This window comes from Homo sapiens, chromosome 12, assembly GCF_000001405.40.
Source record: "Homo sapiens chromosome 12, GRCh38.p14 Primary Assembly".
In the NCBI taxonomy this organism is placed as follows: Eukaryota; Metazoa; Chordata; class Mammalia; order Primates; family Hominidae; genus Homo; species Homo sapiens.
In genome coordinates this window covers 116,014,387-116,026,456 of record NC_000012.12, presented here as the reverse complement: position 1 = coordinate 116,026,456, position 12,070 = coordinate 116,014,387, and the positions used below count along the sequence as shown (strand labels likewise).

Genomic DNA, 12,070 nt, shown 5'->3' with positions numbered 1-12,070 from the left:
AATATATAGTTACTGGTGGCTTCTGTTATATTTCCACTATAACTTCTATTTTTCTTGTTTTCAGTGCCTCTTTTAAAAGGACATTTTGTTTTTTAAGTTATCAATATAAAAGATCCTTGATTCGATTTTAATCTTTTTTATTTATGCTTCTCAACTGTCTGTGTTTTGGGACATAGCAAATTCAAATGAATACTATTTTGAAATTTTTATAACAATTCCTTAGACTTTCTAAAACCAATCCTTAAATTAACTGCCTGTTATTTTGCATATACGAGTCTTCCGATGTCTCAAGGGATGGCCCCCGACATCCTTTTTTTGACTCCTTTCCAGTCACATCCCACCATTCCAAACTATATCCTTCTCTTAACCACATCTGTTCCTTGCCTCATGTTTTCTCTTACTTTTTCTTTTTACTATTAAACCCTATTTTCTTTCTTTTTTTGAATTCTATTTTATTTTAAATTGACACATAATAATTGTACATATTTATGAGCTACAAAGTGATGCTTGGATACCTGTATACAGCGTGTAATGATCAAATCAGGGTAATTAACAAATCCATAACCTCAAACATTTATCATTTTTCTGTGGTAAGAACATTGTCTGTTTTACCTGTTTTGAGATATACAATGCATTATTGTTAACTAGTTACCCTACTGTGCAATAGAATACTAGAACTTATTGTTTCTAACTGTAACTGTTGGCTAACCTCCTCCATCTCTTCCCTTCCCCTCCCCTGCCTCTGATAATGGCAATTCTGTTCTCTACTTATATGATATCAGGTTTTTTAGATTCCACATGTGAGTGAGATCATGTGGTATTTGTCTTTATGTGTCTGATCTGTTTCACTTAACATAATGTCCTCCAGGTTCATCCATGTTGTCTCAAATGACAGGATTTCATTCTATAACTTAATAGTATTCCATTGTGTATTATATACCACATTTTCTTCATTCATTCATCCCTTGATGGACACTTAGGTTGATTCCATATCTTAACTATTGTGAATAATAATGAATAAGCAAGGGAGTGCAGATAACTCTTCGACATACTGAGTTCATTTCCTTTGGGTATATCACCAGTGGTGGGATTACAGGATCATATGGTAGTTGTATTTCTAACATTTTGAGGAATCTTTATACTGTTTTTCATAATTGCTGTCTTAATTTACATTCCCACCAACAGTGTATAAAGGTCCTCTTTTCTTTGCATCCTTGCCAACACTTGTTATCTGTTATCTTTTTGATGATGTCCATTTTAATTGGAGTGAAGGGATATCTTACTGCGATTTTGATTTCCTTTCCCTGATGATTACTCATGTTGAACATTTTTTCTATATACCTGTTGGCCATTTGCATGTTTTATTTTCAGAACAAAGCAGTGGTGGGGGGATACATCACACTACCTGACTTCAAAGTATACTGTAAAGCTGTAGTGACCAAAATAGCATGACACTGGCATAAAAACAGACACGTAAATCAATGGAACAGAATAGAGAACCCAGAAATAAATTCTCTTATCAACAGACACTTGATTTAAAAGAAGGTGCCAAGAGCACATACTAGAGGAAAGAATAGTGTCTTCAAAAAATGATGCTGGGAAAATTGGATTTCTACATGCAGAGGAATGACACTAGACCCCTATTTCTCAATTTAAAAACAAGATCACCTCCCCCCCCCCCCCGCCCCGCCAAAAAAAAGCATGAAACTACTAGAAGAAACCATAGGAGAAATCCTTCTTCACATTCATTGATCTGGGCAAGGATTTTAAAAATAAAACTTCAAAGGTCCAGGTAATAAAAACAAAAATAGAAAATGGGGTTATATCAAAGTAAAAAGCTTCTGCACAGCAAAGGAACTGACCAACAGAGTGAAAGGGTAACCCACAGAATAGGAGAAAATATTTGCAAACTATATATCTGACAGGGGATTAATATCTGGAATATCTAAGGAACTCAAGTCAGTAGCAGAAACCAACCAGATTTAAAAGCTGGGCAAAATACCTGAATGGACGTTTCTCAAATTTTCATTTGTTCTTTTCTTCTTAAAGCATTTGTTTGTATATTCTAAATTGAAGAAATCACTACTGGTTAGCCTTTCTATGGCATTTTGTTATTATTTGTATGTTTGTGCCTGGCTTTATTTTATTCATGTGTTTTCATATCAGTCTCTTGCTAGTGAATATGCTCCTTGAGGGCAAGGACTGTGTTTTCTTCAGTGTCACTTCAGGCTCCTTGCACCATTCTTAGATAAATGTTGGTTGTATTTGTTCTGATGCACAGTTGGGACTCGGTGGAATAGAGAACATGTTCTATGGCTGTAGTCTACATTTATTTCTCCCACCAGCTTCTTATAAATAAGCTAGTAACTACATGGGATACTGGGCATGAATAGGGATAAGTCAGCTCAAACTCCCTTAGCTGAAATTTACAGCTGAAAAATAAGCCAATCCACAATCAGTAAAACTATATTTTGGTCCTATTTAATGTGCCAGACATAATGTTGTATGTAGAAGATGGTGTGTTTCTAGTGTCATTTTCATAAAGGACAGAGTATTTTTACTGTTTATATTATTTTATACCTATAGATGTTCAAATTATGTGCATTTTTGCTTTTGTGAACTTAGAAGTATGGTATCAAGGGTTTTTAAAACTTTTTTTCAAAATTCTTTTAAAATTGTAGTCACTATCTTGAATTTACTCTGTCATGTTAAATACCCAGATACCAAGACTGGGTGTTTCCTACTGGTGAAATGTCATATTTTGGTAAAACAAAAAATGTTATCTAAACATACTGGTCAAAGGAGAATATATATGTGTCACTATGTGATAGAGAAACATTTTAATTTTATTTCATGTTTTCCTTTCAAGCATTATGATTTTGCACTTGAAACAACATTTTTTTTTTGAGTAGTACTCCAAATGTACTTTATAATACTTTAGAGAAGTTTTGAAAAGAAGCAGCATCTTTGAGATGACTTTTAAAAATTGTGGTTGCTTGGCTTTATTTAGTAAAAGTGATTTTGTTTCATCAGGAAAATGTTCTTACGAGATGTTTTGAGAAATGGAGATGTGTTATGGCTATCTTAGGGCCAAAGTTACAATTTTGAAAAAATGTGCTGAGGGGTTGCCTTCTGATCTTGTTCGTAAGCCACTTTTTTTGAGACAGGGGTCTTGCTCTGTTGTCCATGGTGGAGTGCAGTGGCTTGATCACAGTTCACTGCAACCTCGAACCCTTGGGCTCAAGCGATCCTCTCACCTCAGCCTCCTCAGGAGCTAGGACTACAGGTGCACACCACCGTGCCTGGCTAATTCATTTATTTATTTTTGGTGGAGATGAGGTCTTATGTTGCCCAGGCTGGTTTTGAATTCTGGCCTCAAGTTATCCTCCTGCCTCAGCCTCTCAAAACGTTGGAGTTACAGGTGTGAGCTGTTATGCTGGGTCAGTGGGCCACTTTAAAAAATAAGTCTTTTAAGTGTTTATTCATTTATTTGACTTAACACGTTTTGAGTGCTTGTCTTGTGCTAGACACTGAGACAATAGAAAACTATTCCAATTCCTTCTCTGTTCTTAGGTGTTTATAGTTGGCATAAGAGTTAGATTTTATGCAAATGAAACTGGAAACATTTTGTACAGTAACTTACAAAAGTTCTCAATGCAGTATATTCGTATTTCCAGATTTATCTGATGGCTTAGTTTGTCAATACTGAATTAGAAGTTTCTCTTTTGCCCACAATTAGAAGTCAGCCTTACTGGACGGTTGATAAAGTAGAGCTGTATCTTACCTGTAGTTCCTGTTTCTAGCACCCTTTCCTACCAAAATATAAAGTTGAGTTTCTCATTCTCTCTTTTGTAGTGAGCATTTGTCCTGTGCTTTCACATTCTTTCTGCATGGAGAAAGTAATGTATGCACAAGTGTGGAGATTGCCCAGCACCAGCCAATTTATTTGATCAATGAGGAGCATATACACATGGCTCAGTCTTCACCTGCACCATTTCAAGGTAAGTATGGGTGTTCCTGCTCTCCACCCCTATCCGCCACCGAGTGGATAACCATCTTGCCCAGTAAAGTTTTGCAGGGTGAGACCTTATCTTAAATGGACATTTTAAAGCTAAGCATAAGGGTCAGATTTTGAAGAAGGAAGAAAAGACTACCATTTCATAATTAAGTAGTAATAGTGTGTTAGTTTTTCGCTGAAGCTTATCGCATATATAAGATGGTCTTATGTGTATTCTTTTGTAAGAATAAAATGTAGAATTTCCTTCAGAACAAAAGAAAATCAATAAATACTTGAAAAATAGAATTCAATGAGTAATTGACCAAAGTCACAAATTAAAGGTTTTCATTGTTGTGTTTATTAACAAGGTTTTAGGAATGTAATGGTTTATAGAAGATAAACCAAATACTTAGTATTTGAAATTTCTATCAGAATCAAAGTTCTAGAATTATACAGTGTATAGTTTCTTCAGCGATGTTCCTAACTTTGTTTTAATTTTAAACTCCATTGGTAATAGGTATTTAGCTGTAATTTAAATGTAATTGATACATTCATATTTTCATTAATTCTCAGCTTTACCACCTATATATCACCAAAATAACTTCATGTCCTTTTGATCTGAGCATTACAAATCTTAGTTTTGTCTTTGGAATTCAGAATTTTCTGTGAGTAACAGCTTTTAAATGTTATAATATTAGATTGAACCGTATGGAAACAATCTTTTTTTGGTTCAGTCTAATATGTCATTATTAGAGATGACTGGTTGAAATAGTCTTAGCATATCACACAATATAATTTTAAAAAACACTGATATTTTAACAGACTTGACTAAAATATTATAATTGCTGTAAAAGCCTGTCATGAGCATTTAGCCTCCATTGTATTTATTTTTTGTTTTCTATAAACTATTCTGATTTAATTCAATGAAAGCATCTGTTTCTTGCCCCAAATATAATAAAACTACTAGAAAATTCAAAACCCAATTCTTAAACTGTACAGTACAAATTGTACAGTATTTGCAAATTATGGCTTATCAGAATTTTTAAAATACTGTTTTCTTGAGTGTAAAAGTGCTGAGGACCATCTGACTCCATCCAACATTTTATCACTCAGAATAAAAGCATTTAGTTATGGTAATAACAGAGGAATAAGTAGTCATGAGGGAAGAGAACTTATTTCTAATCTTCAATGTTGGGAACAATAATATTAGGAATACCAGGTCCCTATAGACCACTTTTAATTTTTCTGATTTTTGTCACTGATGGAAGTCATAGAATACTTTTGTGGAGCATTATTCTGCTTATTTTCCATGATTGGTGTGGAGGAAGACCATACTAAGGCAGTTGCTGTCCTTATGGATAATTATATTCATCATAATTATCCAAATTGATGTGGGAATTTCCTGGAAGCATTATTGCAAAAAAATTACCCTTGATTAACTGTGTTAGTTGGAGTCAGTATTTTTATCCCATTTGGATCATTGAGGAACAGCAGAAAGACTCAACGATACATGTGATGTCTATAACTGTCTCTCTCTTGATTGATGTGACATATGATCTAGCTCTTTAAAAAAATTAAAAAAAAGACATTCCGTTTAATGACCATGCTGAGTTTTTGTTAAAAATTAGAATTAAGAAAAAGTGGCCTTTATCTTCAGAAACGTATTATTTGGAAGATTGAAGTACTCACTTCAAGGCTATGAACTGGCTGGGTAATTCACAGTACTATATTAACTATATTTTTGTGTCTGACTCAGTGAAAATGCCATCAAGGTCAAATACTGAAAGAAGATAGAGGACTTTGGGTCCTTTACTTTGAGTTAAATCAAATTTTACTTAGAGTTGTTTTATCAACAGACCTCTAAAACAGTCAAAACAGAAACGATAACTATTATGCTTCAAGCTTTTGTACATTAAAACTTTCCCACTGTTAGAAATTTCATTTATATGTTATTCTTTGATTACCACAGATGTTTAGGGAGTCTCAGGAACCACAAGAGTGTTCAAGTTTTAGGCAGCATTTGCGGTCTCCATGTTGAATGATTTTCTTCTGTTTTGAGAGAGTCAGTGTTTACATTGTACAGGCTATTATTAAACAGATATGTATATGCTTCAAAGCATAGCTGTCTGATAACATTGTACTATCCATATTTTATTTCGTTTAAAAATTGTGGGAGGTGAGAGGTGTATAAATAATAAGAAATTTTAAAACAAGAAACTTCAAAATATCATACTTTTGTGGCTAAGGCGGGAGCATCACTTGAGCCTGGGAGTTCAAGACCAGCCTGAGCAACATAGTGAGACCCAGTCTCTACAAAAATAATTTTTAAAAAAATTTCTTTTAAATCATACTTTAAATAGAGTTAGGAAATAAAGAACAATGCACATTAAGTGATACTGTAACCTAAAATTACCACATATGTAGTGTTGCACTTAAGTAGGAATTATTTCTCTAATGTTTAGCATGTATTTCTCCTCCCCTCCATAGTACTGGTAAGTCCTTATGGCTTAAATGGGACGCTAACAGGCCAAGCATACAAGATGTCAGACCCAGCCACTCGTAAGTTGATTGAGGAATGGCAGTATTTCTACCCGATGGTGCTAAAAAAGAAAGAAGAATCGAAAGAGGAAGACGAGTTGGGATATGATGATGATTTCCCTGTGGCAGTTGAAGTAATTGTTGGTAAGAGAAAATATTTTGCCTGAAGAACTTTATTCTTCTTCCTCTTCCTTAATTTAAAAAGATAATCATTTAGATTCTTCAGAAATAATCTCCATACCCATCTTTTTAAAGAAATTCTCTTGACACAATGGTATGTACTGAGTAGTTATCTTGCCTGAAGCACCCTTGGTCCTTGTATTCCAAATGCTCTTATCATCATGTTGGAACACATGTTTAAACAGCTATTAACTTATGAAAGAATGGAGCCTATCACTTTTGGCAGTACTTCATGAGCATCTCATTTTCACCATTGGAATCATAAAATTGGAAGTCTTGTATGAATTCTTTCTCAGTCCTGATTCTTTCCTTGTTCTCTTTGCTTATAGGTGGTGTTCGGATGGTTTACCCTTCAGCATTTGTTTTGATCTCTCAGAATGACATCCCGGTTCCTCAGAGTGTTGCCAGTGCTGGAGGCCACATTGCAGTTGGGCAGCAAGGGCTTGGTAGTGTGAAGGACCCAAGTAACTGTGGGATGCCTCTGACCCCTCCCACCTCTCCAGAACAGGCTATCCTAGGTGAGTAGGATCCAGGAGTGTCCTGGGGAGAAGAGATCTCAGACAATTGTATAGTCTACCTGCCATGGAACAGGTGAGAAAACAGAAATTCCTGTTGGAAGAGATGGAGGTAGTAGAGTAACGTAAGGATATTACAAAATGGAGAAGGAAAACTATAAACAAACAGAATTCATACACTTCAGAATTTTAACTCTGTCCATATTAGTCTTTATTGTTATTAAATAGTTTAGATTCTGTTAAAGTTTGCACACACATCTGCCCCTGTATGTGTGTATGTGTTCACATATAGATAAAATGTAGGGTTTTTTTTTGTTTTTTTTTTTTTTAATTTTGAACAACTGAAGAATACTAAATCAGAGAGTAGCTGAAGCCTCTGCCCCGGTGACCATTGTCAGCCAGGGACAGGCCTTGAACAACTCTTTTCCCTGTTAGATGTAAAGTTAGACTAGTGCTTAGTAGCTCTGAATAAATACTTTTCTCTGTCAGTAAAGTGTCTGCATTAATAATAAATATTAATTATATGGGACAGTTTTGACAGTTGGAACTGCCTGTCTTCATGGAAAAATTCAGAAATTGTTTAAATTGGGAACATTTTTGCCTTCTTTATTGAGTAGTATAGTTCCTATATTAACTTTGTTATTGTTGTAGTTGACCTCACTTTAATTAGAACTGTGGTCAGTATGGAAAGGATACTCATCATACTTGAGCCGAAATGAGATTATTTATTTATAAGCATTGAATGTGGGCCAAGCTGGCAGGAACATTAGAGTAAATAAAGCCTTGGCTGCTAAACTTTGAAAATAAACTATCAAGCATGATACATACGTAATCCTCATGAAAATTACCAGAGTAAGACAAAATTTGAAAGTTTCTAGCACAATTCTTGGCAATTAGTGGGCATTAAATAAATGTTTATAGTTAAAGAAGATATTGGGGAAAAGCATATACTTTGTGATTGAGCGCACCTCGTTGTAAAACCTGGCTATATCGTTTACAAGGTGAGTGACCTTATTTAATTCTCGTAGTTTTTCTGAATCTTGGTTATTTTTTCTGATAAATACATACTTTACCGTGTTGTTGTACATACTAGGTAATATATACAAGTGCTTGGTAAACAATAAAGTCATATACAAGTGGTAGCAATAATTTAAAGCAATATTCAAAACTCGAAGTTTAGCACACATTGTCTGGAGGTAATTACTCAGATGTTTTGTGGGAGACATAGAAATGGACATGTATGTTTTTAAGAACCATGTATTTGCTGAGATGGTTAAAAAAAAAAAAAGAAGAAAAGAAAAGTACATCCAAGGCCAGGCATGATGGCTCATGCCTGTAATCCCATCATTTTGGAAAGTCATGGCAGGTGGATCGCTTGAGCTCAGGAGTTTCAGACCATCCTGGGCAACATGGTGGAATCCTGTTTCTACAAAAAATACAAAAATGAGCTATGCATGGTGACAAATGCCTGTAGTTCCAGCTACTTGGGAGGCTGAGGTGGGAAGATGGCTTGAGCCCTGGAGGTGGAGGTTGCCGTGAGCCAAGACAGCATCAGTGCACTCCACCATGGTCGACGGAGCTAGACCATATCTCAAAAAAATAAAAAAGTACTTGCGGCTTTCATTTGGTAGAGCAGAGAATTTGGATGATTCCTTGTGAAAGGATTTATCATCAATCAACTATATTAAACTAAAAAAGAACTTTCATAGTCTTTTGTAGTAATCATCATAGAGAAGATATATGAATATAAAAATTAGAATTATCAGTATTTTGAAGTTTTTAATTTCACATCACAATTTGGATTTTTAACAATTGCACTACATTAAGTTATCCACTTGTTATCTGTTTGTTTTTGTTTTGCCTTGTACTTAGTGAAATTTGTATTCAACTTAAAATTGAAGGCCTGCTGTGTAAATGAGGCTTTGACCTCTGGTCAGTTCAGAACTCTTAATAGTCATAATTCAGAAACAAGAGGTTTTTTTTGATGGGGGATTTCAGTGTGGACTAATTAACTATGGATCTTCAAATTCCTTCCCCTTTAACTCTGTATGCTATTGTGTTAGGCCTTGGATAAATAAATCCCCTGATGTCGCCTTATTCCTTAAAACAAACACACACAACTGAACAAAAGCTGCCGATATCCTTGTAGTAAAATGAATTTGCCTAAATTTTCATATCATAGGATGTTGAATTACAGGTTAGGAGTCTTAATGCTGTATCAGAGAGTATCCCGGTCAGCCTTGACATTCTGTAGTTGAATGCCATATTTTTCTAGATATAGGACAGAATGGGCTACTTTGCCGTCTAAAAAACACCAAGGTTCTCCTTGATTAGCAGAGGGCTTAGGAGGGCCGAATAGTATTAGTGACATTACTCATACCTTATTTGGATTGGTATATCCACTTGCCTCTTTGTTTGATATGTAGAGGTAATTGCAAGTAACAACATTCAACATGCATTTTAACAGATTGGAGTAACAAGTCTTGTTTAATTCCATCTAAGATACCACTCAGATTTTAGTTCAGTCATTTAAGTGCCACTGAAAAGCTTCAACCTAGCTTTAGTCAGAAAAGTCTCTATGGCTTGTTTCTCCCTACTCTTTTCTTTTCTTGGTCATAAATTGTTTCTTTATGATACCATGGGCATATGATCTCTTTAGCTATATCATAGGATGTTTTGGAGAGAAGGTCTATGTTATCTACTTCATACTTCTGTTTATTTCTTTAGTTTGCCTAGTTTTATAATTGGTGTTTGAAAAGCAATTGTAAAATTGAAATTAATTCTTTTGCATCATGAACCAAGTTGGGAACTTTTAAAATGTAGCAAAGTTCAAATTTCTTATCTCATTTGTAATATAGTAATACTTTTATCGGAAAGAAGAGCGCTTCATTTCCTTAGAATATAAGCATTTGGGTCTTTTTTTTAAATAGACGTAAGCCTGACCATTCAGCTTGTATCATCATCATCTTTCATTGATAATAAGAATACTTAGTTTGTGTTATAAAGTTGCTTCTTTCTTTTTCACCTTGACTTTCGTTAAGGTGTTTTGCATCATAGTTCTATTGAGAAGAAAATCCATAATATATACTTACTAAGTCAAATAGGTGAAAGTGATTCAATCAGAATTTAATACTGGAAATTGACTTTAGTATTTGTCTTATATAAGATAGAAGTAGTAAAATACTCAAAATGTAAACAACAACCAGTATCATCAATAATCATAATGAACATAGTTGAAAGAAATAGATTATATTTATAACCACTGTATTTGAAAAAACTAAGTGGAGTTACTAGAGAGAAACCAGTGAATTTTTAATCCTCTGAAATAAAATGTCAAGACAACCTCTTTCAGTGTCGTAGTACTAAGTTTTAAATACATAGTGTCAGGCATAAGGACAAACAGTACCACACACAAATTTGAAATTTGACCTTGTTAAAAGCTTTGTGCCATTACTTTCTTTTTCCTACCCAGGGCACTGTGTGCTGCTGATATACAGCCATTTAGCTACATGAGTATAAAGCTCCCTCTACTGTTCCCTTTTGCCTTGAAACTCATTGACTGTGTTAAGATTTAAAAATCTAAAACAATCAGTGGAGGTTTGCATCTTTAATATTGTGATGTATGTACCCTTGCTTCTAAGTTGTTTCCAATACATGTGGACTAGGAGTGCCTATGTATGTGTGTGCCCTTATGGTTGTGTGAGTGTTCATCTGATTAATTGATTTAGGGAAAAAACAAAGAATCATACAGACAGAGTTCCAGGGAAAAAAATCCATTCTGATAGAAATTTTACTCATGATTATAGATAGTGTTATTGCCAGGGGATAGGGAAAAAGCTATGTATATGACTTTCAACAATTAAAATGCATATTTATGTTAATAAGATAGCAGTCTATGAAGTAGGAAACCTTTTCAGAAAATCCTAACATTCCAAATTGCCTTTTTTTTCAGGTGAGAGTGGAGGTATGCAGAGTGCTGCCAGTCACCTGGTTTCCCAAGATGGAGGGATGATAACGATGCACAGTCCAAAGAGATCGGGGAAGATTCCTCCAAAACTCCACAATCATATGGTCCATCGAGTCTGGAAGGAATGCATCCTCAACAGAACCCAGTCCAAGTAAGTTTTCTCGATTATGTCTAGATCATAGTTTAGTAACCATCTCCTTGATTGCTACCTGGAAAATGTCAATCACATTGCACTATTGTGTGACCAAACTTGAGAGGTCATCATTGGTATTTCATCTTTTTGAATTTAATAGAATAAAATTTGAAATAAATATGTTAAAATCAAGACATTTACTGTACTTGATTTCATTATCGAGGAACTTTTTGAAGTTCCTGATACTGTACAGATTGGCATGGTGTTGACCTAATATTTTGTAGCACAGCTGGCACAGGGATTCACCATGGGTATCAGGACAGCAACCAGTGGGTTTGGTTTTTCCTTGCATATCAATGTATGAATGCGTCCCTATTGTGAAGGGAAAGAACCTTCCTTGCTGATTTACTATTGTATACAGGCCTTAGTTGTAATTAACAATACATTTTTGAACTAGACTGATGACAGTTGGAGGGGTGTTTATTATCTGCCGTGCTCCTGTTTGTTGATTTGAGAAAATTATGTTCTTTTCTTCCCTGACCTAACTTTCCTTCCTTTCCAGTCTCCCTGCCTTTCTTCTTTAACATACTTTTGGAAAAGGAGAGAATTGATTTTTAGAAAAGACTGCTGCTGATTATTTTAATTGCCTAAACAGTAATGACAAACAGGAGTCAATAAGTACTATTCCACTTATCAAGATTTATGTAAACATAATCAGCACAGTTTCATCTCTGTTTTAA

At 34.7% G+C, this 12,070-nt stretch overlaps 1 protein-coding gene across 8 annotated transcripts in view; it reads left to right on the top strand.

Moving 5' to 3' along the window:
* Positions 1–12,070, top strand: part of MED13L (mediator complex subunit 13L) — a 319,118-nt gene that overhangs the window by 251,237 nt on the left and 55,811 nt on the right. For all 8 annotated transcript variants that reach the window (XM_047428608.1, XM_017019090.2, NM_015335.5 and 5 more), the window contains 4 exons: positions 3,856–4,001; positions 6,485–6,679; positions 7,045–7,233; positions 11,183–11,348. In XM_047428608.1, the coding sequence (XP_047284564.1) occupies positions 3,856–4,001; positions 6,485–6,679; positions 7,045–7,233; positions 11,183–11,348 (696 nt within the window). The remainder of the gene's footprint in view (positions 1–3,855; positions 4,002–6,484; positions 6,680–7,044; positions 7,234–11,182; positions 11,349–12,070) is intronic.